At 38.5% G+C, this 25,837-nt stretch overlaps 1 protein-coding gene and 1 long non-coding RNA gene across 8 annotated transcripts, besides 2 other annotated features; one reads left to right on the top strand and one right to left on the bottom strand.

Annotated features, from left to right (window-relative positions):
- On the top strand, positions 1,114 to 6,918 carry LOC124901386 (uncharacterized). The gene is made up of 2 exons (XR_007059721.1): positions 1,114 to 1,572; positions 5,387 to 6,918. It is a non-coding gene; the product is annotated as an uncharacterized LOC124901386 (long non-coding RNA).
- RSPH4A (radial spoke head component 4A) lies at positions 2,392 to 18,898 on the bottom strand. 7 transcript variants are annotated; one of them, XR_007059261.1, is made up of 7 exons: positions 18,068 to 18,898; positions 12,375 to 12,609; positions 7,008 to 7,748; positions 5,675 to 5,810; positions 4,825 to 4,942; positions 3,623 to 3,872; positions 2,392 to 3,170 (listed from the first exon to the last, which is right to left on the bottom strand). XR_007059261.1 is itself a non-coding variant. In NM_001010892.3 (6 exons), exons 1-6 carry the CDS (start codon positions 18,751 to 18,753, stop codon positions 2,936 to 2,938), a joined length of 2,151 nt encoding a protein of 716 aa, NP_001010892.1. In that variant the 5' UTR covers positions 18,754 to 18,898; the 3' UTR covers positions 2,392 to 2,935. The 7 variants fall into 7 exon arrangements, 3 of the variants coding, with proteins under 3 accessions (NP_001010892.1, XP_047274681.1, NP_001155136.1); XR_007059262.1 differs by having other exon boundaries at positions 5,715 to 5,810; XR_007059263.1 differs by lacking the exon at positions 5,675 to 5,810.
- Positions 18,579 to 18,698: an enhancer, noted in NCBI's record as "active region_24998". NCBI's record gives its function as "activates an Ori minimal core promoter by ATAC-STARR-seq in GM12878 lymphoblastoid cells {active_cell/tissue: GM12878}" and the evidence as "EXISTENCE:reporter gene assay evidence [ECO:0000049][PMID:35858748]".
- Positions 18,749 to 18,848: an enhancer, noted in NCBI's record as "active region_24997". NCBI's record gives its function as "activates an Ori minimal core promoter by ATAC-STARR-seq in GM12878 lymphoblastoid cells {active_cell/tissue: GM12878}" and the evidence as "EXISTENCE:reporter gene assay evidence [ECO:0000049][PMID:35858748]".

The following is a 25,837-nucleotide window of genomic DNA, read 5'->3' as shown; positions in this document are numbered from 1 at the left end:
TATCTCACTTCCAACCAAACTCTTACCATTAAACTATTTGGCTGTCTTCCGTTAGAGAACATATATAGTAAAATTTCTTCCTCACTGCTTAGAAATAATATTTAACAGGCATAGTTCTATAAAGAAGGATTTGCATTGATTAAGTGTTTATACTAACTATACAACTGTGATTTAGAGTCTTGTGTTTAATGTGTTCTGTAGAAAAGAAACTTTCCACTTCTTGTTGGACATGCCACATGTGGTTGCAACCAAGAATCCTGGCCAATGTAATTCATCAAAAAACTACCAGAAGCTCACAGTCCATGGGTAGAACTTAGCTGGAACCAAGCCAACTGTGGAAACTAGAATATGGTCTAATTTGTAGAAGGAACAATCTGGTTAGGAGCCCATAATTTAGATCCCAGAGAGGCTACATCTGATTGGCATGAGACTATTTAATGGGACAGAGGCAGTTCCTCAAAAGGAAATCAGGGTAGGTAATGAAATGGATATTAAGCAACACTAAAGAACATGTCTACTATGTCATGAAAAAATGAATAACAACCAACATGAATGAAGTTTTGTGAATTTTAGGTATGCCAACAAAGAATGAAAGTTGCACTTCAAGAATGAAATAGTATTGCCAATTTAATTCTGGAAACCATCTTTCCTAATGTTCTGTCCTTCAGACTGGTAACCAGTTTTCTTTTTTTTTTTTTTTGAAACATGGTCTTGCTCTGTCACGCAGGCTGGAGTGCAGTGGCACGATCATAGCTCACTTGACCTCCTGGGCTCAAGCGATCCTCCCACCTCAGCCACCAGGTGCAGTTTTCTACTTTATATCCCCTTGCAGTTATCCTGGGTTTTTTGTTTTTTTGTTTATTTGTTTTTGTTTTTGAGACGGAGTCTCATTTTGTTGCCCAGGCTGGAGTGCCAATGGCGCAATCTTGGCTCACTGCAGCCTCTACCTCCCAGGTTCAAGCAGTCCTCCTGCATCAGCCTCACGAGTAGCTGGGATTACAGGCATGCGCCATGACACTCGACTAATGTTTGTATTTTTAGTAGAGACGAGGTTTCGCCACGTTGGCCAGGCTAGTCTCGAACTCCTGACCTCAGGTGATCCACCCGCCTTGGCCTCCCAAAGTGCTGGGATTACAGGTGTGAGCCACTGTGTTACCTAGATAATGTGATAACCTCCTAACTGGTCTCCTTGTCTCAAATCTGGATTCTCTCTCATCCATCTACACTGTAGCCAAAATGTTCTCAAATACAAATATTTGTGTGACTTTCTAGTGTAATCCTCTTCACTGTTCATGGGTAAAATCCAGACTTCCACACACTCTAGCCCCTCTTTGCCTCTGCAGGCTCATCTCTCACCACTTCTTGCGGTTGAAATTTCATTCCTTTCAGCCAAAAGTCCTTTGCCAGGATGCAGCTGATGCCACCAAGAACCTTCTCCCATAGCACTCCACCTGGTGGCTCTTAGAAGTGCTTCCTGACTTGCTGAAATCTGAATTCAGTGCACCTTGTGTTTGACAACAGTGTTACTCCGGGTGCAGATCTGTGATCTGCAAACTGAAGGTCTGTGGCAAGGTAAGTACAGACATTGAGAACTGCTGTGTCATTTTATTTTTAAAAAACAACAGTAATGGATTGGAATTATTTTTTAACTTAGCAAAATTCCTTTACTGTAGAATTTGAGAAGCACTGTTCTGTGTTACCTGTAATATTTGTATCACAATACTTGCTAAATTGCGATTGATTTTACATTTCTATTTACCTTTTTATAGTTCTCTCTTCAATGAAAGCTCTATGATTTCAAGAGTAGTGCCTAGTTTTTAGTCATAGCCACAGGTATATCTGGTACATACAGGACTTAAAAATGCTTTTTTAGTGAGGGAAGATAATGTTTTAGAGAAGTAGTGCTAGAAAATATAAGTCAAGTCTCTGGCTATCTCCAGCTAACCATATCTGTGCAAAGCAAATCATTTTTCCCTAATCAGTTCAAATCAATTTCTGTAGGATGAAAGAGGAGTCTGAGAAGACTTTTTGAGAAGTAACAAAAGAGTTAAAAATTTACCAGCCTGGCTAACATAGTGAAACCCCGTCTCTACTAAAAATACAAAAAAAGCCAGGTGTAGTGGCGTGCACCTGTAGTCCCAGCTACTCAGGAGGCTGAGGCAGGAGAAACACTTGAACCCGGGAGGCAGAGGTGGCAGTGAGCCGAGATCACACTACTGCACTCTAGCCTGGTGACAGAGACTCCGTCTCAAAAAAAAAAAAAAAGAAAAAAAAAAATTGAGTGTTCCTACAGTTTTAAGCAGGTGACAGAATTATGATACTATCTCAAGCAGGAAAAATGAATATATATGCTATAAAGTGTTTGCACACAATATCACAGTCCACACCATAGGTAATTACAAAGGTTTAAGAATACATGCTGAGATCAGTTCTTACAAAGGTTAAGAATACATTACTCTAGTGACTATCAATATTTTTTGTCTTCATACCCCTTGACACTCTTTAAAAAGTATTGATGTTTCCAAGAATTTCCTGTGGGTTATATCTTCCAGTGTTTGTCGTATTACAAATTAAACCTGAGACCATTTATTTATTTATTTTAATTGTTTTACCTCACCTGGACCATGTGAAACCTGAGCCCTTTTAAAAACAGGAATGTACAAACACATATTCCATTATCCATAACCCTCAGAACAATTATGCAATTGCATGTTATTTAGCCTCTGGAAAATCCTGTGAGTATCTTTCAATAAAAATGCTAATATTTCTACCTATGAAATTTCAAGCTTGATTTTCAAGATTGAGATTTTGCAGTTGAATAATTTCTTACATGTGTATGTATATACACACATAACACAGAAAAGTGTAAAATTAGTCCCATATAAGGGGTGTGTGTGTATCAGTGTCACATAAAACCAGGCTAATTTTATGTTTATTAGTCATAATCATCTTCCTCATCTTCATCTTCCTCAGATTCTTCATTCTCAGCTGCGAGTAGAACTGCTTCTTGTGCAGCCCTGAAAGCCTGCTCCTCCTCCACACTAGGATCATCCATTTCTGTAATTTCTGGTCCACTGGGGTATTCTTGATAAACTGGTGGTGGAACTGGGGGTGTATAATTGTCTGGACTATACTTATGACCCCAGCCTATGTAGAAATTTTCAAACTTTCTATAAGTAAGAAAAAGAAGAAGAAAAAAAGATCATTATATAATTTCTCAGAAAAACTGACCCTTCTGTAATATTAAAGTGCTTAGAATATCATGGTCCTATAATTTAAAAAAGCAATACATGTAAAATGCTAGAAGTGAAATATTCCTCAATGATTCTTCTACCACAGGGAATTGTTTTCATCCAAACTGCCTAAGCTGGTTAAAAAAAAAAACCATGGGGCCAGATACTGTTAAAATGTACCCTACACCTAGACCACAAGCAAAAGCCTTTCTTCCTTCAATTATTTTCAGGGGAGGAAAAAAAAAAGTTACTACCTTCCACAAAGTTAGAAAGATATAAAAATAGCTAACTGTGCAAACTCCTGGTTGGGCAAGGAGTTGGGCTTGTGGTTAGAAACCTATGTGTTACTTTTTTTTAGGCATGACCATAGGCAATCACAAAGAGTTTACCTGGCACATCAGACTTGGAGTACAATGCACTGCTGTCTTTACGGGAAGTTGCAGTCAAGGACGCTGGCCCCTTTGGCTCGTCATGCTCTTCAATGTTTGCATTCCTAGACCAGGTGCTTCCGTTCCTAGGTCTCTTTATCTGAGGCCTTCAGCAGAGGCCTTTCCAGCCCCTCCTTTCTCTGCTCTCTGTGCTCAGCACTTTTTCACTTCTAGCCCTCTCATCCTCCTCTTGGTCTCCAGGTCTGTAAAACTGCAGGAGCCGTTTGAGGATTCCCTTGTCAATGAGATGACCCCAGCACCTCCACATCTATGATAGCCATATCTGTGCTGATCCACCTGACTCTCCAATAGAGGGCCATTCCATGGGGGAAAATGGAACAGGGGGATGTCAAAGCTTTCTCTTGTTTATACTATCACAGTAAATGATTAAAGGCTTAACTCTCATTTTTAGCTTGTTGCTTTAATGGCTACTCTAACACCTGGCCGCTCAGCTTTCTCTCCAGAAATGATCTGAGATTTAAACTAAACATTGCTTAGAAATACCTCCATTAATCTACTAAGTGAATAAGTCATTACCCAAATAATCAATGATGAAAAACCATATTTTATTTCAACAAATTGGATAATTAAGATGAAAGGGTAAAAGTCCAAATTACTACTTAATGTCCTGAATTTGATGTTTTATTGTGTATCACAGATGTTATTTTAATAAATTTTATGCCACACACACATAATATGCCAAAGATGAGTTAAAACGATAGTAGCAGCTGGGCATGGTGGCTCAAACATGTAATCCCAGCACTTTGGGATGCTGAGGCGGGGCGGATCATGAGATTAGGAGTTCAAGACCAGCCTGGCCAACATGGTGAAACCTTGTCTCTACTAAAAAAAAAAAAAAAAAAAAAAATACAAAAATTAGCTGGGCATAGTGGTGCATGCCTGTAATCCCAGCTACTGGGAAGGCTGAGGCAGGAGAATGGCTTGAACCCAGGAGGCGGAGGTTGCAGTGAGCCGAGATCATGCCACTGCACTCCAGCCTGGGTGACAGAGCAAGACTCTGTCTCAAAAAAAAAAAAAAAAAAAAAAACACGAAAAAAAAAACCAAAGAAACAACGATAGTAGCTTAACATTCTAGTGGTTATTTATAATTTCCAGAGCTTAACTAATCACAGAAATGGCTTTGTAAGTGGTCAGATACTTACTTGCCATTGGAGAAGGCATATGCTCCAGGCCAAAGGTTGGATTGAAGGACTGCAATAGCATATTGTGGAATGAGATTTGAGGATAACCGTGTTGTCCAGGGGGGTATATTCTGAATCTCTGGAACCCAAAGAGAAATGCAAAAGCTTAATTCCTAACTAGACAAGAATCTACTGTGTAAGCTATTTTTATAAATACACACACACACACATGCATGCACACACACAGATACACACATACTTGATACAGAAAGAAAAAACAGCAGCAACTTAACAAAATCAGGAGGGTACTTCATGAATGTTTTGGAACAATGGAATTTGAAATATACATCTCCATTTTTGCAAACAAGACAAGAAGTTTTATTAAGGGAAAGGAGGCTTATGTGGTAGAGTGAGTAATATTTGATGGCCCAATGAAAGGTACATCATTAATATGAATAAGATCAAGGGTTGCAAGCACAAATACTCCAAAACTGAAGGGAAAGAGACAAGAATATAGGAATGAGAGTAGAGTTTTTAAAAACCAGGACGAAGAATATTTATGCCATTTGTTTATGGTCTGCAGAATGCAAGACAAGAATAATAAAGGAGACAATTGTCAGCATTTCCAGAAAGCGCTACAGCCAACTTATGTTTCCTGTCTGCATGACTCCTTCAACCTCTGTCAGAGAACATTGATGTGGCCAGCTACATTCTTCACTCCCTATCATCCCAGAACATGAATGGGAAGAGGATGAGACCTTGGCTCCTGTCCAGTTTTTAGAGCTTTCCGACTCTCATATTTACTATATAATGCACACAGTATATTATATTGTTTGTGTGTCTGTGTGTGATAATAGTTACGTAAAATAACCTAAATCTTCAGAGATTGGTGTCAAAAGAGGAAGCCCCACTTCCTGTTCTATGTAGTCAGAATCGTCTTTTTCTTCATCTTCTTCCTCTTCTTCTTCCTCATTTTTTTGTATGGAGTTGAACCAATTACAGCGACCCTGGGAATGAATGTTGCAAGATTTAGTAGTCTAATGGGGACCTTAAAATTTCAGATTATTCATTTGAATTGATCAGGATGAAGTGTAACTCTGTGGGAATTTAATCAATTATTCATTCATTCATTCTACATACATTTTCCAAGTGCTATTTTGATCTAGGTTGTTTCAAGGAAAGGACCGTGCTATTTATTTTAAGAATTTGCCAAATTCTTGAAGTCACAGAATGTGTATTTTTAAATTATCACTTATATTTTAAAATTAGCAGAACCTTAGTGAAAAAGGTAAGAGTGTATTTTACTGGTTTGTGGTAAATAATTTATGTGAGAGAGCTAAAGCTATTATGATGATTATTATTAACAATAACATTTAAATGTGGTAAGATTATTTATGGAGGTTTAGGGTTTATAATGTCTCAGTTAGCTCTTATGTAGAGAAAGCTAAGAGTATCTCTTATCTAGATCAAAGTATAACGAAGATTTTCTACCTGCAGATGAGGTAATATAGCACAGGGGTTAAGTGGATGCACTGGGTCCACTCTGTGCAGCCTCACATCTGATTCTGTTCCTTATTAGTTATGTTCCTTTTGTCACATTTCCTAAACTCTCTTTCAATTTCCTCATCTGAAAATTAAGGATAATAATACTATGTCATGGGGTTGCTGTGAAGATTAAATCTTGTACACACGCACAAACACACACCCCAACACACACACACCTGGCACAATAGGTATTATATAACTGCTATACAGCACTGTTTCCTTGCTTTTTGTTTTTGTTACAATCCCTTATTGTTCTTGGCACAAAAGCTACATGTATTATAGAGATAAAATTAAAGAACTATTTTCAAAATTAATGTACCCATCTATATTAAACATATAAAAATTGAGTAATTTCAGAACACACAAATCTAAATCTGTACATCATCTGTCAAACGCTCCATAGAAGAATGTGTTTTATTTTCAAATAGAAAATAAAGTCTGTTTGGAGATCCCTGGGACCTTCAGTTATATAGACAATTATATAGACACTGGCAATTGTATATTACTCTGCATTTTTGGCTGTGTTTTTAATTATCTCTTTTCCTGCCTATTAAATAGAGTCCAAAGGCCTTTATTTTGTATGTCTTTGTGCATTATAGTGACCATTTAATGAATATTTGCCTAATTACCTGATAGATTGAGAAGTGCAAAGCTCCTACCTGAGAGAGAATATGCTGTACATGATGAACCCAATTGGATAGGGATTCTACTAGATCAATCACTTGGATGCCTTCAAAATCAGGGTTTTCCTCAAAGCTATTTCGCCCACCTTCTGCCTCTTCCTCCTCCTCTCCTTCCTCTTCACCAAACTGATAAAATCCTAGAGGACTGACGTGGGTTCCTGCTGAAATTCGGGCAATTTGTGCTCGTAAATAATTACTCTCATTTCCTGGGAAAGGTGGGTAGCTTATGATGGGAGCATCCAATCGCCCAGTGAAAAATTTCTTGATTTTTCTTGCAATAACAATTTGTGCAGGTATAACTGGTGGTAACTTCACCCATGGTCTTCCTGGTTCATTGCAAACAAAATAGACATATTTGTTGGCACCTGTTCTACTTTCTTCTTTTGGTATAGCCTGTGGGGCCTTGTAAAAGGACTTTGGTAATTCATCTTCCTCATCTTCATGAGCTTCACTTTCTCCATTGTCCCTCTCTTCAGCTACATCTTCCTCTTCCACTTCCTCTTCATCTTCCCCCTCACGAAATTCCACTTCAGCTACAATATAATTCATTTCCAGACCCAAGATCTTTCCCCAGAAGCGGCATCTTTGGATTGGGTGGGTATCAGTAAGCTGCTTGAGGGCAAGAAATATGCGGTATGTCTCATCTGTGCCCAAACCAACTCCAGCTTGTTCAAAATAAAAAGCTGACTCCATTACATTTGGAAGAGCGTTTTCTGCCTGGGGAAACAAATGCTGTGGTTAAAATTTATCAATAAGACAAATGCTTGCTTCCCTTGTCTTTTTCATGTATCTCGATATTCTACTTTCTCCACCACTTCTTTGACATTTCTCTCAAGATTTAGATCAAATTGGCTGGGTGCAGTGGTTCACGCCTGTAATCCAAGCACTTTGGGAGGCTAAGGCTGGTGGATCACCTGAGATCAGGAGTTCAAGACTGGCCAACATGGTGAGACCCCCGTCTCTACTACAAATACAAAAGTTAGCTGGACATGGTGGTGCGTGCCTGTAGTCCCAGCTACTTGGGAGGCTGAGCCAGGAGGATCACTTGAACCCGGGAGGCGGAAGTTGCAGTGAGCTATCACACCACTGCATTCCAGCCTAGGGAAAAGAGCAAGACTCCATCTCCAAAAAACAAACAAAAAGATTTAGGTCAAAGTATGATAATTCCTGAATTTCTGTTCTTCTCTCATTATTTATAAATGTAGCTTCTCTTGTATCTTATACTCATTAATGTATAATAGCTACCTTGTTTATGTGTATATTTTAGGTAGAGAAAGTTTAATAATTACTATGAATAATAAAAATTCAACATTCCTGTTTTATAAAAAATAAGTGACTCCCTTACTATCCTAAAAGAAGATGTAGAATAACTATGTACACATATATTTAGAACAAAATATGGTTTTCCATATGTCTATATTACTATATATCTTTAAAAATAATAAACATTTATTAAGTGCATGGTTTTATAGGATCACTAAAAATATAGTATCCTGTATAATGTAATGTATGGAATAAATAAAATGAACATGTAATAAAGTGCTCATGTCTATACTTGAAGACATAATGTAGTCAGATGCTCCTTCTACTTATAATAAATTATTTTGAATTTAAAATAATGAGAAAAATTAAAAAATTCCACAAAAGAAATACAGAGAAATGAATAAGCAGAGTCTTAAATGGACCATAGAAACACATTTGTGAAGGCTGGGCGTGGTGGCTCACGCCTGTAATCCCAGCACTTTGGGAGGCCGAGCCAGGTGGATCACAAGGTCAGTAGATCGAGACCATCCTGGCTAACATGGTGAAACCCCATCTCTACTAAAAATACAAAAAGTCAGCCGGGTGTGGTGGGGAGCACCTGTAGTCCCAGCTACTCGGGAGGCTGAGGCAGGAGAATGGCGTGATCCCAGGAGGTGGAGCTTGTAGTGAGCCGAGATCGCGCCACTGCACTACAGCCTGGGTGACGGTCTCAAAAAAAAGAAAAAGAAAAAGAAAAAAAGAAACACATTTGTGAAAAAGTAGGAAAGAACTTCAACTACAGGTCAAGATAACTTGCAAGAGAAACCTTGACCCTCAAGATGAAAAACTTGAGAGCTCTGCTGTTCTTACAAATGATATGCTCTTATAATTGTAGTGTCAAAATAAGTATAACGACTTTTGAAAATCCTCATCGCCTTGATGTAGGATTGCAAAAGTCTTTCCTTGACATTTGCTGTACCACTCACTCTTGATCCCACTTGGCCCTCTAGAACTATTTCATCTTAAGTCTCTTTAATTGCTCCCTTATTTCTTGAGCTCCAAATGTTGATGTTGTCAAAATATCCTTTTCACTTATCGCATCTCTCAACTCTTTATGCTTGGAAGAGTTCTCCACACCACTTCAAGTGATAAGTGGCTGTTTAAAGTTTCTCTAACTCTGACTTTTCTCCCATATTCTACACATATTTCTAGCCACTTCTGAGAAATTTCACTTGAGTATTCTAAAGATACCTCAGTTTAATATTTAATTCACATCTCAAAGTTTTCTCTTTTTTCTATGTACTCTTTCTTCGCCAGTGACATCTCAGTTTCTCACACCAGAAAGTTCGGTCATCCTTGCTTCCTCTGACTCCCTTGATCTTCAATATTTAAGTAGTTAGATTCCTATTGATTCTAGCACATAAAAATTTGTTGGCATTATTTCCTCCTCTTGTATTCAGTTATACTGTATTAGTCACCATCCTCACTACTTGTGCTATAGCAGAAGGCTTCTAACGTTCTCCTCTGGCCCCATTCTACCTTTCTTTTTTCATTATCTTTCATATTATGATCAGAGTTATCTTTCTAAACCAAAAGTCAGACCATGCTATTCTCTATTTAAAAACTTCTTACTGTTTACAAGAAAGAAGTTACTTATCAATGCACAAAGAACAGTCTGGCTTTAAGCACTCTGTTTGCTTCATTTCCATCACTCTCTCAAACCCACAATCGACTTTTCCAAACATTAAATAATCTTTCCTAATTATTTTATTGTTCCTTTTTCTAAGAATTTAATTTCTAAGAGTCTTCACCTGGTGAACTCCTGCTTATCCTTCATGGCCCAAATGAAATATTACCTCCACTAAAAAGCCTTGCCCAATGACCAATAGCAGAGTTAGTTGTTCCATTCTGTCATTTATCGTGTTGTCAAAAGAATATAATAACAATTGCTATTATTAAGTTCCTATTATAAGCCAAATCCTTTATATATACTACCTCTATCCCTCAGGGTTTAGCCACTTGATTATCCTTAAGCCACTTGATTATCCTTAAGGCTTGGAAAGTTTAGCCTCTTGCTCAAAATCACACAACTAGCAAGCTAGTTGAACTAGGATTCTAGCTCAGATCTGGCTACCTCCAAAGCCCATGTTTACTCCATCATATGAGGCTGTCTCTTTATTGCACTAATCAAATGGCTTTCCAGTCTTTTTTGCCTTTCTGTAAATTTTAAGCAACTTAAAGTCAGAAAAGCCTTTTTCCCATGTATATCTCAGTACTTGGTATGCAGTAGTCACATAGTGTATGAATAAATGGGTGAATGAATAAATGAATGCTGAAGACTAAGCAAACGAATTCTGGTGTGGTCAAAGGCAGGAATAAAAACGTGAACACTCTAAACATATAAGTCAGGGACAGGTTGGTCATATAGCTCATATTTCAATGCATCAGAGAGACCTGTCTCTCTATCTGTTCCTGCCTCTTTCTACTTTCTGAGGTGGAGCTTTTAATCTTCACCTGATGACTCAGCTGTTCCAGGCTTTAAAGTCAATCTTATCCCTTATTAGGAAGATGTATGGAATCTAGTTAAAGGGCCCAGGTCCCATGATCAAAACAGCTTATTTGTATTCTCACCCCATATCCTAGTTTTAGGATGCAAAGCCCTACCTTGTAATTCTGTGCCTATAAAGGGCACCCATTCTTACCCTGGAGTCTGAACTTTCTTTGATTAACTCCTGTATGAGAATGCCTGCCTATCTGCCTCATCTCCATATGCTGTTTGCTCCCAGACTCATCATCACTGGATATGGCTACATAACCAACTGCCACCTTGTTGAAACTGTCTAATGTCAACTCCTTGACACCTATCACCTGTTCCTTCTGTATGAGTACTACAGGTCTTACTGCATCAGTTAGGTCTCTCCTCATAGGCTGCTTAGCCTGGAGAAAGCATCTACTGTCTCCCTTATCTTTTCCCTGACAGAGTGCTGTTTTGAAAATACCTTATTCCAAACATCAAATTTGAAAGCATATAGACACATCTTAAATAATCTAGTGGTACTGAATATACGTTCAGCAGATGTGAACAAATTACAAGTATATGAGTATTTAGGAAACAGAATAGCCAATACTATTTTGAAACATTTGAAGTTAAAATTTCTGTGATGTATAAGATTTTATTCTCTAATTATAGCTTTTTTCAATCTCTGTCACCAACTTTTTCTCCAAATATTTTCAAAATTTTGTCTATGAAGATTTTAAAAAGTATTTTACTCCTCTCCTCTTGTATTACATCCCATTGATGTAATATACATAATATCAAGTCATAATATAAGGAGCTTGTCTTAGAAGAAAATACAAATGATATTAGAAGTGCTTCTAAATTTTCTAATAAACATGCAACTTGTTTTAAAACCTGATTTTAATTATCTAACATTTATTCATTATTCAACAAATCTTTAGCAAAAATAGCTATACATCCAGATCTGTACCAGGCACCTTGGAGAATATAAAATGTGAAGAAATCCTTTACTCTAATGTCAAGGAGCTTAGCATACAAACATATAACAATCTGTTATAGCTTGCAAAATACTAAAACACAGTATGAAAAAAACAAGAAATCCCTAATCAAGGAAATGAGTAGTGTGAAAAGAGTTTGACTAAAGAGGACTTGAAGAATTTTTAAAAAATAAGATGTAAATACTATGTAAGAAGCTATAAGGGCCAGGTGCAGTAGCTCACGCCTGTAATCCCAACATTCTGGGAGGCCAAGGTAGGCAGATCACTTGAGGTCAGGAGTTTGAGACCAGCTTGGCCAATACGGCGAAACCCCATCTCTACTAAAAATACAAAAATTAGCTGGGCATGGTGGCACGTGCCTGAAGTCCCAGCTACTCAGGAGAATTGCTTGACCCTGAGAGGCAGAGGCTGCAGTGAGCCAAGATCACGCCATTGTACTCCAAGCCTGGGAGCCTGTCTAAACAAAACAAAACAAAACAAAACAAAACAAGCTATAAAATACAGTTGGTATGAATTTAAAGCCACAGCCATTCGTCCCAAATAAAATCCTAAGGTTTATTATTAAAATTTGTAGTAGTGACTTACTATTTCATCTTCCAATTCTTGGTCAACTCCTTCCAAATGTCCCTGGAGAAAAAGAGCCTTTTGCTTTTCTGCTATTTCATATGTTGGAAGCAACTCATTCTCATTTTGTAGTGCATCAAATTTTTTACTAAAATGTGCCATCTTCACATCTTGGCTAATATTTTCAAAGATGTCAACAGCATTTTCAGGACGCTCATTTAATATCTTGGTCAACATATTAGAAAGATGATCATATCTATCCAAACAGAGAAAATTCCAGATAATATACATGTCAAGAGCATTTGAAGAAGCATTTTTCTTTGACATTTCTGGGGTCATTAGATAAATATAGACGTTAAATGAAAAAGAAAAAAACAAAATATATAGCTTAGGTCAATTAATAGGAAGTAGGCAATTATTGAACAACTATTTGCAGACTCAGTTTGTTTTTAAGGAACTTCAATAACTTGAAGTCTTCAGAGATTTTCAGAGGATAAACACTTAAGATAATTTCTACTATGCCAGAAATAACTTATCCTAGAGTTTTCCTTAGGAAATGATTCCAATATCATAAGGATGTTTAACTTATTAAAGAAAAACATTTTAGAGCACGATACGTATTCCACATCAGGTACATTTTCACATTTTATTTCTGAAATTACAATCTTTTGGTTATATATTTAAAAGTGATTAACATTATTTTTCACTTTTTATCATAACTTCTTTTCCATTCCCCTTCCCCTCCGCTCACCAAATCCAATTTGATTTCTAATCTTGTTGACTCTGTCTTTAAGATCTGTTCTCTTCCTTTCCATTTTATTTTTAAAGCCAATTTTCTACTTCAGTGCTTCTCAGACCATCTTGCATTTCATATTGTAACATCCACTTACACACAACAAAAAAAGCCATTAAATATTACTTACCTTTATTGAAATGTGATACACTCTAATATTTTGTTCTATTCCATTCGAAACACTGCCCTAGATTTTTATTTCACAACTGAATTAGTGAAATTGCCTCTATCCTCTCAGTAATTCATTACATTTTATATATAACTGCTAGTGTTTGCTTTTTCAAATACCAGAATTACAAAGTGAATTTTAAGAGGCCAAAATGTCTGTCAAAGTATCCTTGTGTCCTGTTAAAGTGCTCTTTTCTTGAGAAAAAAATCCTCTGTTCAATGTGGAAATTTGTATAAATTGCTTCTCTGGTGGATACGCATCGTATCTCTCCAACTTTGTTTCTAATTATTAGTTCAATTAGACGTTCTAATAAAAATTACTTTCATACATTTGCTAAGTTCTACCTGGGAGCTTTTGCTTGCTGTGAACCATATATATAATTTCTCTCAAAAAATAATTTAAAACTCCTTTCATTCTTAGGGACTTAGCACTTAAGTCATTCCCCAAAATCATCCTTCCCCAGTTCAGAGGAGTTCTTTCTGAGAACAATGATATGCTGCTCTGAAATTTTATACATATATATTTCCTATTCAGCAACTGCAGTACGTTCTTCACAGCCAAGCTTAGGATTTTATATAACTCCTCTCTTATTATAGTGAAACAAAATAAACAGTTGTTCAATAATTGTCTACTTTCTATTAATTGACCTAAGCTATATTTTTCGTTTTTTCTTTTTCATTTAACGTCTCTATTTATCTAATGACCTCAGAAATGTCAAAGAAAAATATGTATATTATATGGGAGATCAATGTAAAGGGCAGTTAAAATATTATACAGTATTTGAAGAATATAAAATTCCTTCCTCAAATAATTCTTGTAAATGAACAGAAATGTTTTGACTAGGAGTTTCTTTAAAACTTCATCAAGCTTCCTTAATATTCATGCACTGTTGGAATTCATGGAGAAGGCCGGGAGCAGTGGCTGCCTGTAATCCCGGCACTCTGGGAGCCTGAGGTGGGCGGACCACCTGAGGTCAGGAGTTTGAGACCAGCCTGGCCAACATGGTGAAACCCCGTCTCTATTAAAAAAACAAAAATTAGTCAGGTGTGGTGGCAGGCACCTGTAATTCTAGCTACTCGGGAGGCTGAGTCAGGAGAATCACTTGAACCCAGGAGGTGGAGGTTGCAGTAAGCCAAGATTGTGCCACTGCACTCCAGCATGGGTGACAACGTGAGACTCTGTCTCAAAAAGAAAAGAAAAAGAAAACTCATGGAGAAGACTCCAGACTAAAAACACTGTTGGTTATCGGGCAATAGCTGGATTAATAATGAAAGGGTTTGATTTGCTTCAGTAGCAGCTGTGGATGGCATCACATCAGGGACTCTCTGTCCAAATTTTCATTTTATTTTTCAGGTTTCAATATAATATATATATGTGCTTTATTCAAGTCCACACCTGAAAATGCCTTTGTGTCAAATTATGAAATATATGTATTAGGTTTTAATTTACAATTATAGTTTTTTCTATTAGAGAGGAGTAATAATTTATTTTTAAAAAAATGGAAGAAAAGGAGGAAGCAATTCTTTCCTATAGCCTGTTAGTTCAATGATGAAAAACCATTTTCAGATTCCATATTTCAGTCAAAGATTGTTTAAATTGCCATGAAAAATAGCTTTTATGGCTGTCAAATTAGATCTGCATATAAGAGATGGAGTTAAAGTAATCTTTTACTAAACAATTTTAAACTGTAGGCACTAAAGTACTTAGAGGATAACAGTGAATATTATGGAAGATATTCACTTATTACCTCAGAGACAGCATTTGGAAATAAAATTAAATTTAGATATGTAAGTAATATCAATTATAAAATAATTCAATAAAGAAAATTTTATGTTTTCACATTGTTTTAAATTGTTAGTGAACTCACAAGTATTTATAATGTGTTCCTTTGCAATTTTAGCAGTTTGTAAATTCAGGCTTGCTATCTAACATAGGGCATTATGACAAGAAGTTCATATCAGAAATTCAAGTAGAGTCCACTATGGAGTAGCAAATTACATTCTTGCAGCTTAAGTAAATTGTAGTTTAAAATATTAACTAATAGGCTGGGTGTGGTGGCTCACGCCTGTAATCCCAACACTTTGGGAGGCCGAGGCAGGCAGATCACGAAGTCAGGAGATCAAGACCATCCTGGCTAACACAGTGAAACCGTGTCTCTACCAAAAATACAAAAAAATTAGCCATGTGTGGTGGCAGGCGCCTGTAGTCCCAGCTACTTGGGAGGCTGAGGCAAGAGAATGGCGTGAACCTGGGAGGCAGAGCTTGTAGTGAGCCGAGATCGTGCTACTGAACTCCAGCCTGGGCGACAGAGTGAGATTCCATCTCAAAAGAAAAAAAAATTAACTAATAAATAATATTTCAAACTGATCTCACATTTCATGAGATTTCTCACATCATACATTAATTTTTTTATTCCTTAGACTTTAAAATTATATCTCATATATCTTAAAGCCTAGTAATAGCTGCAAATATTTGCCACATTGTAGATTCAGTAGGCATTTAATTAATATTTACTGATTAATCAGGAAGCACCCCAATAGATCATGGTGAGAACTTAGGAATTATGATTTATATACATTGGTTTTCATCCATAGTTTCTGACTCATAAGTCTCATACCGCTTCTCATTTATCCCCAAGATAGGCCTTAGAAACTAAAAGTATACTCTGTTTCTCCATGTCTGGCCATAATAAAATTCTCTAACCTACTTTGTCTGATTGATGGTCATAAGACCCCCATTTCAAAAGAGGTCCTGCCCCATATCAAGGAGGAAAGAATGCTCCACAGAGAGGCCAAGAAGAATCTGGTTAGGCCTTGCTGGGCTTCCCCACTCAGTCTATTAGCATTAGATTATACCCCTTTTCTACACAGTCACCAATCATACCTATCCAATAACATATCCATAAAAGGCCCAAGAGAACAGGTTTAGGGGAGCATCTGATAGCTGAACACATGGAGGTTGCTGGAGGGTGGCCTTCCCAGAAAGGGCAAGGAAACTTTGCACTCCTTCCCCAATACTTCTTCATATGCATCCTTTGTAATATCCTTTATAATAAACCAGTAATCATTAGTGTTTCCCTGAGTTCTGTGAGCCACTCTAGCAAATTAGTCAAACCAAAAGAGGGAGTTGTTGGATCCCTGGTTTATAGCTGGTTGGTCAGAAGCACAGGTTAATCAGCCTGGGGCTTGTAATTGGCATTGGAAGTGTGGGGCAGTCTTGTGGGATTGAGCCCTCAACCTGTGGGATCTGATGCTATCTCCAGGTGGATATGTCAGAATTGAATTGGAGGACACCTAGTTGGTGCCCACTGCAGAAGTGATTGCTTGCTTGTGGATAGGGAAACAGAACCCCAAACATTTTGTCACGGAAGTCTTCTGTGTTGAGGCTGGGCGCAGTGGCTTACGCCTGTAATCCCAGTTACTTGGGAGGCTGAGGTAGGAGAATCGCTTGAACCCAGGAGGCAGAGGCTGCAGTGAGCTGAGATGGCACCACTACACTCCAGCCTGGGCGACAGAGCTGGCTCCGTCTCAAAACAAAGACAAAACCAACAGCAACAACAAGAAGTCTTCTATGTTGGTTGTTGTAGAGTGAGAGAATAGAAAAAGCATTCATTTCTTCTTAATAGTTGCTAGCATTGTGCTACCACTAAGTATATAGTGGTATACAAAATTCAGAGTCCTTGCTCTCTGGGGGCCTCCAATCTAGTGGGAGAGTCAGATATTAAAATATAAGTCTGTCTCTCTGTATAAAAAATTATAAATGACATTAAATGCTATGAAGGAAAAGAATAAGCTTTTTAGTAGTGTTCCATGGAAGCTGAGTTCTGAAGAATGAGGAGCCAGCCAGCCAAAGACTTAGAAAAGAAGCCTTCTGGGCAGAGGGAACAGCCATGGGGCTAGAGCTTAGTGATGGAGGGAGAGGTAAGAGTCGGTAAGTGTTGTTAGCCACTGGAATCTTGAGCAAATTAGGTTCTCCATGACTTGGTCTCCTCATTTACAAAAACAAATGAGTTGTATTAGATGTTTTCCAAAAGCCCTTCTAGCCCTAAAATTCTACTGACCCTATCATTATGTAACTCTGGAAGCAAAAATCTATAGAAATCTATACATGTCATAAGTTCTAAAATTAAAGCTATAATGGGATGGGCAGAACATATGTAGACTATTGATCATCACATTTTAAGAGACTTGGATAAAATGGCATGTGTTCCAGGTAGCTTGTATAGTGACCAATTCTCCGAGTTTGCGAGGACTAAGGGGTTTCTTAGGATAAAGAACTTTCAGCGCTCAGCCAAACTGAGATGGTGGTCACCCTAGCACTGCCTGGGTTGGGAACTCAAAAGCCATGCAAGCAATAGCATCTACAGATGAGAGACGTGATTGCTTTCACTGGTAGACAATTATTTTTCACAAGCATCCTGGAGAGATGCTTGGACTTTATGGTCTTTATGGTCTTTTTCAAGCCCGAGATTCCATAATTCCTAAGTTTTATTTTGTTGTGTGCCTAGGGTCTTTAAAGAAGCTGGAGGAAAAGGACAAAAAAAAAAAAAGGTTAAGAAAAAGAAGGTACAAGAATCTCCATTAATGACCTGTTTTGAGTCATGTGATCCAGAGTTATGTCATTAACTCTCTTTTACTAACACAATCTTTCAAATATATTTTGATTCACCCACAGAAACACACTCTCACACAGAGATACTCACACACCCTCTTGCTTTGCCAAACATTTATCTTTTTTCCCTCTGAGACTTACAGATTAAAGCCCGAATTGCTGCTAGTCTTCAGCAGGTAAGCCTTAGCATTCTGAATGGTGATCTCAAGCATGCTGGGGGCCACTTCAGAGCCCCCAGGCGCCGGCTGCTGTAAATCATAGTCACTGTTTGAGTCTTCCTCCTGAAAAACGTCAAATCTCAGCTCTTTCTGTTTAGCGTTGTTATAGCTCACGTCCCTTCGTCCACACAGGTGGGGTTTGGGTTGCTGAGACTGTTGAAAGGTGTTTCCTTCTGACTGGCTTGTGTGATGAGGAGTTGATTCTCTTTTATCAGATGATTGTTCCAAAGGATCAGGATAAGGTGTCCCAGCTTCAGGAATCACACTCGTGGTCCTGTCCGACTGAGGTGGTGCCGCGAGGTCTTGTCTGGCCGGAGCCAGGGGAGAAGGAGAGGAAGAGGGCTCCCGCGGAGAGACAGGAGCAGGTGATGATGTTTCTGGTCCCGCGGGGCCACCCAGAGGCGTCTTGGCTCTAGACTGCGGGCTCCAAGGACGGCTGCTTCGGGACTGGCGTCCAGTTTCTGGCCCCTGCTTCGCCTCCAAGGGCTCAGACGACTCAGGCTCAGAATATTGGGGAGAAGCTGCTGTCTTTCCTTCCCATGGCCGCCTTGTTTCCCCTAGTTCTTCTTGGTTTTCTTTTTCTTGCTTCGGGGAGGTTGAGTCCTCCATGGAAGCAGTTCAAGAAAAAAAATGTTCTGGATGAAAGGGGCGTGAAAATATGGAAGAAGGCAACTCAGTTAAGTTACTTTGCCGCGGTCTCTTAAGCGATTTCTGGGTCCTGGTTGCTCTGTGAGTTGCTGCGTCCTATCTCCATAGCAACCCCAGGCCGGGTTCCTCTCAGAAAAACTCACCGCGCCTGTTGCCAGGATTCGAGGGCGGAGACTAAGAGAGAACGAGAGAGAGAGATGAAAATCCTAGCTTTGTGATTCGGTACAACCCCTGCCCCTCGTTCTATCGCAGCCAATCCGACCTAGACTCGACCAGTCTTGCTTGGAAACCGAGAACTCCAGATCCTGCGCCTTGAGCACAAAGTAGGAAGAATGGCGACCCCATGCGAGAGACCTTTAGGGGTCTGAGACTGATCCAAGTTGTGCTGTGAGGAGCGAGTCGTGCGTTAGTGGAGGGACAGTGTATTCATGAAGCGTGTGTGTGGAGGGTGTGTGTGTGTGAGAGAGAGAGAGAAGGAAGGAAGGAAAGAACGGAGGAAGGAAGGGAGGGAGGGAGAGAGGAGAGTGAGGGGTAGAGAGGGAGGAAGAGACTGACCTTGGTAATCTCGGAGGTGCAGGTAACAATGGGACCCCAGTGTGCTGACCAGGAGACCCCAAGCCTCACATTTAGCGTGCATCAGCTACAACCAACCAACTCTAAAGACTCGGAGAATAGACAAAGCAGTCCTGAGTTTTGTTCTTCCTGCTTATAAGGAATCTCCTGGTGATTAGGCAGAATATTATACTTGAGAAGGCAATGCAGAAAACCTATAAATAGGCAATTCATGGGTTACCCGTTTTCTAATAATTGAAATTCAAATTAACACTAAACTATATTGGCATAATATAATTTTTATTTGATAATGTAAATGTAAATGCATAATTTTGCAATGATTTAAGTTCAAGATTATGACTATTCATTTATAGTATACAGTCTCCAATATGAAGAAGGTATAGAAGATTGGACCATATCTGGACTTAACTATAAACCATATATTAATTAAAGTCTTTAATGTTAATTGTTTTGTATTTCTTTCTCTTTCTAAATATACCAACAAATACTTGGCATTTGACAGTTTACATTGATATAGCTTCTATTTAGCAAGATGTTGCTCTAAATTCTAACTTCATGGAAGAACATAATACTCCTCCATTCAGTGTGGTGAGGGAATCACAGACTAAAATAATTTGATAAAAACTGTGTGCACACACACAAAATGTTGAATATAACTTCTGCTGGTACAGAGACTCTTTAAAGTCAAATGTCTGGGATTTAGAATGCTTGGATTTCTAAAAACAGAACATTAAGATAAACTAGAACAATAAATTCTGGGGTTTTTTGGTAATTGGTGCAAGAGTTGAGGAAGTTAGCATTTTTTCCCCCTTAATTTCTCCCTTGCAGCTGGCAAGCTGTAATGGAGGCTTTTTTTTTCTTTGAAAGACAAGCCAGAGGGCCAGGTGTGGTAGCTCACACCTGTAATCCAAGCAGTTTGTCTTTTTTTCACCAGGTAATCCCAGCACTTTTGTGTTTTTTCTTTGAAAGACAAGCCAGAGGGCCAGGCAAGATGGCTCATGCCTGTAATCCCAGCACTTTGAGAGGCCACGGCAGGTGGATCAGTTGAGGTCAGGAATTTGAGACCAGCCTGGCCAACATGGTGAAACTGCATCTCTACAAAAATACAAAAATTAGCTGGGCATTATGGCGAGTGCCTGTAATCCCAGCTACTCCGGAGGCTGAGGCAGGAGAATTGCTTGAACCCAGGAGGCGGAGGTTGCAGTGAGCCAAGATCGTGCCACTGCACTCCAGCCTGGACGACAGCCTGTTATCCAGGCTGGAGTCAGAAAAGCCTGTGTCAAAAAAAAAAAAAAAAGAAAGAAAGAAAAAGAAAAGAAAAGAAAAAGAAAAAAGAAAAGAAAAGGAAAAAAGAAAAGAAAAGAAAAAAAGACAAGCCAGAGAAGGGTAGTAGGGCCAGGAGAAAGAACGCATGAAGGAACAGACATAGCTTGCTTATCTCTCCAGTTTAGGAGTGAAGAGCACCTGAAAGGAACAATGTAAGTGTCCGTTATTATTCCTGCTTCATTTTCAGTCCAGAGCTTTATCTTGACTTTGACTCTAGTAATCCTAAATTTGCTTCTTACTGTTCTTAAGATAAAGACTAAAGCTCTTAGCCTACTTATGTTCCCAGTTTTGTATTATGTGTCATATAATGCTGGCCTTATAAAATGGGTTGAGAAGTGTTTCCTCCTTTTCTGTTTTCTGGAATAGATTATATAGAACTGGTGTCATTTCTTTAAATGTTTAGTAAAATTTACAGTGAAACTGTATGAGTTTGGAAACTTCTATTTCAAGCGGTTTTTAAACTGCAAATTCAAACTTTTAAGTTGTTATAGGACTGTTCAGATGATCTCTTTCATCTTGGATGCATATTGGTAGTTTGCAATTTTAAAGGATTTTATGCATTTCATCCAAGTTGTTGAACTTATGTTTGCAGAGTTCTTTGCAGCATCCCCTTCTCATCCTTTTAATGTTTGTGGGGTCTGTAGTGATATCTCCTCTTCCATTCTTGATTTTGATAATTTGCCCTCTCTTTTTTTCTTTGTCTTATTGGAAGTCCATCAATCTTACTGGACACTGTTAAAATTAGCTTTGGGTTTTATTTATTTTCTCTATTATTTTTGTTTTCAATCTCATTGATTTCTCTTCTTATTTGTTTGCTCCTCTTTACTTTGTATTTATTTTGCTCTTCTTTTGCTAGTGTCTTGAAGTGGAAACTTGGATTATTTATTTGAGATTTCTTTTTTTTTTTTCTGATGTAAGTGTCTAGTGTTTGGTTGTTTTTGCTTTTGTTTGTTTGTTTTGTTTTGTTTTTGAGACACAGTCTCACTCTGTTGCCCAGGCTGGAGTGCGGTGGCACAATCCTGGTTCACCGCAACCTGCGCCTCCTGGGTTCAAGCAATTCTCCTGCCTCAGCCTCCTGAGTAGCTGGGATTACAGGCACCCACCATCACACCCAGCTAATTTCTGTATTTTCAGTAGAGATGAGGTTTCACCATGTTGGCCAAGCTGGTCTCGAACTTCTGACTTCCAGTGATCCACCCACCTCGGCCTCTCGAAGTTCTGGGAATTACAGGTGTGAGCCACCGTGCCTGGCCGTGTCTAGTGTTTTATATATTCCCTTTAAACATTCTTTTTTACATTTTTATTTTTATTTTAAGTTCTGGGGTACATGTGCAGGATGTGCAGGTTTGTTACATAGGTAAACATGTGCCATGGTGTTTTGCTGCACCTATCAACCCATTACCTAGGTATTAACCCCAGCATGCATTAGCTATTTTTCTTAATGCATGTGTTCTTATTGTTCAGTTCCCACTTATAGGTGAGAGCATGTGGTGTTTGGTTTTCTGTTACTGCATTAGTTTGCTGAGGGTAATTGCTTTCAGTTCCATCTATGTCCCTGCAAAGAACATGATCTCATTCCTTTTTATGGCTGCTTAGTATTCCATGATGTATATATGCCACATTTTCTTTATCCAGTCTATCACTGATGGGCATTTATGTTGATTCCATGTCTTTGCTATTGTGAATAGTGCTATAATGAACGTACACATATATCTTTGTAATAGAATGATTTATATTCCTTTGGGTATATACCCAGTAATGAGATTGCTGGGTCAAATGGTATTTCTGTTTCTAGATTTTTGAGGAATTGCCACACTGTCTTCCACAGTGGTTGAGCTAATTTATATTCCCACGTATAGTGTAAAAGCATTCCTATTTCTCTGCAACCTCACCAGCATCTGTTATTTCTTGACTTTTTAACAATCGCCATTCTGACTGGCATGAGATGGTATCTCATTGTGTTTTCGATTTGCATTTCTCTAAGGATCGGTGATGTTAAGCTTTTTTTCATATATTTGTTGGCCGCATTAATGTCTTCTTTTGAGAAGTGTCTGCCCTTTAAACATTCTTTCAGCTGTATCCAACAGATTTTGATATGTCATTTCCTTTTAATTCAGTCCAATATACACTATTTAAAATTTCCCTTAGACTTGCTCATCGAGCTGTGAATTATTTTTAAGTGTGTTATTTAATTTTCCAGAGTTTGGAGATTTTCTTTTTTTTTTGTGATTAATTTATACGTAATTCCATCATTGTCAGAGAATATACTTTGTATGATGTTATATTAAAGTTAAATTTCTGATTTTGGATTTATTTTCTGTGGCATTCACACAGCTTCTTAAATCTGTATATGTTTTTCACCAAATTTTAAAATGTTTCAGCCACTATTTTTTTAAAAAATGTGTTTCTATTCCACACTCATTCTTTTGTTTTTTGCCCCAGTGACATAAATGTTAGATCTTTTGTTGCCTTTCCACAGATCCCTGAGTTTCTGATCATTTTTTCATCTATTTTCCTTATGATGCTAAATTATATAACTTCTATTGACCTATCTTCAAGATCATTGGTTATTTCTTCTGTTTTCTGCTTTTGAGCCCATCTAGTGAGTTTTTAAAAATTTGTTACATTTTTCCATTGTGAAATTTTTAAAATTATTATTTATATCTTTAATTTCTTTGCTGAGGCTATTTTTCCATTTGTTTTAAAGGTGTTTATAATTGCTTCTTGGAGTATTTTTATGATGACTGCTTTAAAATCTTTGTTAGAGAATTCCAACATTTGTGCCATCCTGGTGTTAGCATTTGTTGTCATTTTTCACTCAAGTTGAGGATTCCTGGGTTTTTGGTATGACAAATACTTTTGGATTTTATCCTAGATATTTATATTTTTTGAGACTCTGGTTCCTACATAAATCTTCTGGGCAAAGTAAAGAGTACACAGAGGAGTCTAAATATGGTTGGAGGCAGTCAACCATATTTAGGAAAGTTAGGAAAGTTGTTTCCTAAACTTGTAACACATGTCCAATCCAATTTTGTGAGCTATAGTTTGAAAGTCAATTTAGTTTTCAAAACCTAAGAAATAAAATTCTGGTCTGCCTCTCTATGTGCTACTTAGAGGTCAATTTAAAATATGAGCCGTATTCACTCTGTAATTCAGTTCTCACAGCTTTTGTTGTGTTGATTCTTTTTGATTTTATGCATGAGTCACTTAGGATTTGCTTAGTAATTTATACACAGATTTAAAAAATTCACCCTCCAACCCCATTTAGACTCCTCTGTGTACTCTTTACCTCATTCTGTAATGGGGAGGGGATGGTGTGTGCAACCTCTTTGCAACTGTTCACTTAATGCAGAATGGGAAAGAGAGAAACAGGCGCTGCCTCTGCTCCTGTTAATGCAGGGTGGGGACGACTGACAGGACTCTACCTCACAGTCTTAAAAGGGCTCAGTGTGTGTGGTGGGGGATGGGATGCCACCTCTGTGCTCATGTAGCGTAGGGATGGTTAAACAGGCTGAAACACGTTGGCTCTGCAGTACCCAGTGTGCAGGAGGCAGAATGTGGCTTCTTCTTTGGGTTTGACTGTAGTAGAGTGGGTAGAGTACAAATAGATTTGGTTCTGTAGGGCCTTTGTATTCCTAGTCTTTGTCTAGGGAGAAAAGACCCTTCTTAAGGCTTTTCAAAGTCTGGGCATGTTGGAATTTTCAAGTGTAGATTTCTCTAGTGCCAGATTTGGATATATAAGATGGGAGGAAAAAACCCCAGAGAACTCACCACTGGGTTATTCCTAAAATTCTGTGATCTCTGGCCAGTCTTCCTTCTTTTCTTTACCTTTCGGAATCCTCTGATAGTTTATTTTACTTAGGGTTTTTAGTTGTAATTAATGGGAGTAATAGAATGGTATGTGCTTACTTTATCCTTTCATAATCAAGAGGCTAAAATCTTTTGAGAAATGAGAGGATTGACCTAGGAGTTGGTCATTAATTACAGTAAGAATAGATAATGAAGGCTGGGTGCTATGGCTTATGCTTATAATTTCTGTGCTTTGTGGGGCTGAGGTGGGAGGATCGCTTGAGCCTAGGAGTTTGAGACCAGCCTGGGCAACAGAAGGGGCCCCTGTCTGTACATAGTAAAAAAATTAGCCAAGCATGGTGGCACATGCCTGTAGTTCCAGCTACTCAGGAGGCTAGGGTGGGAGGATTGCTTGAGCCTAGGAGTTTGAGACCAGCCTGTGCAACAAAAGGGGACACTGTCTGTACAAAATTTAAAAATTAGCCAAGCCTGGTGGCATGTGCCTGTAGTTCCAGCTACTCAGGAGGCTAGAGTGGGAGGATCGCCTGAGCCTAGGAGTTCGAGCCTGCAGTGAGCTGTGAGAGTGCCACTGCACGTAAGCCTGGGCAACAGAATGACAGAGTGAGACCTTGTCTCAGGAAAAAGAGGAATAATAATAATAATAATAAAAATAAATAGATAATGGGCGATAGGGATAGATGACATGAAACTCAAAACTGAGTGTTTTTATGGAGGAGAGTGGGCTAATAATCTGAAAGGAGCAATAAGAAAAAAGGAAGGCGAAACCCCACTAGCGAGAAAGAAAATGGCCACGACTTGAAAGAGTTACAAGGGAAGCATTATCTTAGAAATGTTCATAGTAGCCTCTGAGGATCATTTGTATTTCTGTGGAATCTGTTGTAAAGCCATCTTTGTCATTTCTGATTGTGTTTTTTTGGATCTTTTTTTCTTTGTTAATCTAGCTAGCCATCTATTGATTATTTTTATTCTTTCAAAGAACCAACCTTTTCAGCTGGGCATGGTGGCGCACACCTGTAATCCCAGCACTTTGTGAGGCTGAGGCAGACGGATGGCTTGAGCTCAGGATTTTGAGACCAGCCTGGGCAACATGGTGAAACCCCATCTCCACCAAAAATAGAAAAAATTGCCAGGCATGGTGGCTCAGGCCTGTGGTCCCAGCTACTTGGGAGGCTGAGGGGGGAGGATTGCTTGAGCCTGAGAGGCAGAGGTTGCTGTGAGCTGTGATCACACCACTGTACTCCAGCCTGGGTGACAGAGCAATATCCTGTCTGAAAAAAAAATAAAAATAAAAATAAAAAAAAGAACCAACCTTTTGTTTAGTTGGGTTTTATTTAAT

Source organism: Homo sapiens, chromosome 6 (genome assembly GCF_000001405.40).
Source record: "Homo sapiens chromosome 6, GRCh38.p14 Primary Assembly".
In the NCBI taxonomy this organism is placed as follows: Eukaryota; Metazoa; Chordata; class Mammalia; order Primates; family Hominidae; genus Homo; species Homo sapiens.
The sequence above is the reverse complement of the archived record's forward strand: the minus strand, read 5'-3'. Positions and strand labels throughout refer to the sequence as shown.

Coding starts and splice junctions, on each gene's coding strand:
- RSPH4A (NM_001010892.3), bottom strand. CDS start 18,753: ATGGAGGACTCAACCTCCCCGAAGCAAGAAAAAGAAAACCAAGAAGAA. Junction 12,610..18,067: donor AGCAATTCGGGCTTTAATCT/GTAAGTCTCAGA, acceptor CTGTTTGGATAG/ATATGATCATCTTTCTAATA. Junction 3,171..4,824: donor TATGCCTTCTCCAATGGCAA/GTAAGTATCTGA, acceptor TCTTACTTATAG/AAAGTTTGAAAATTTCTACA.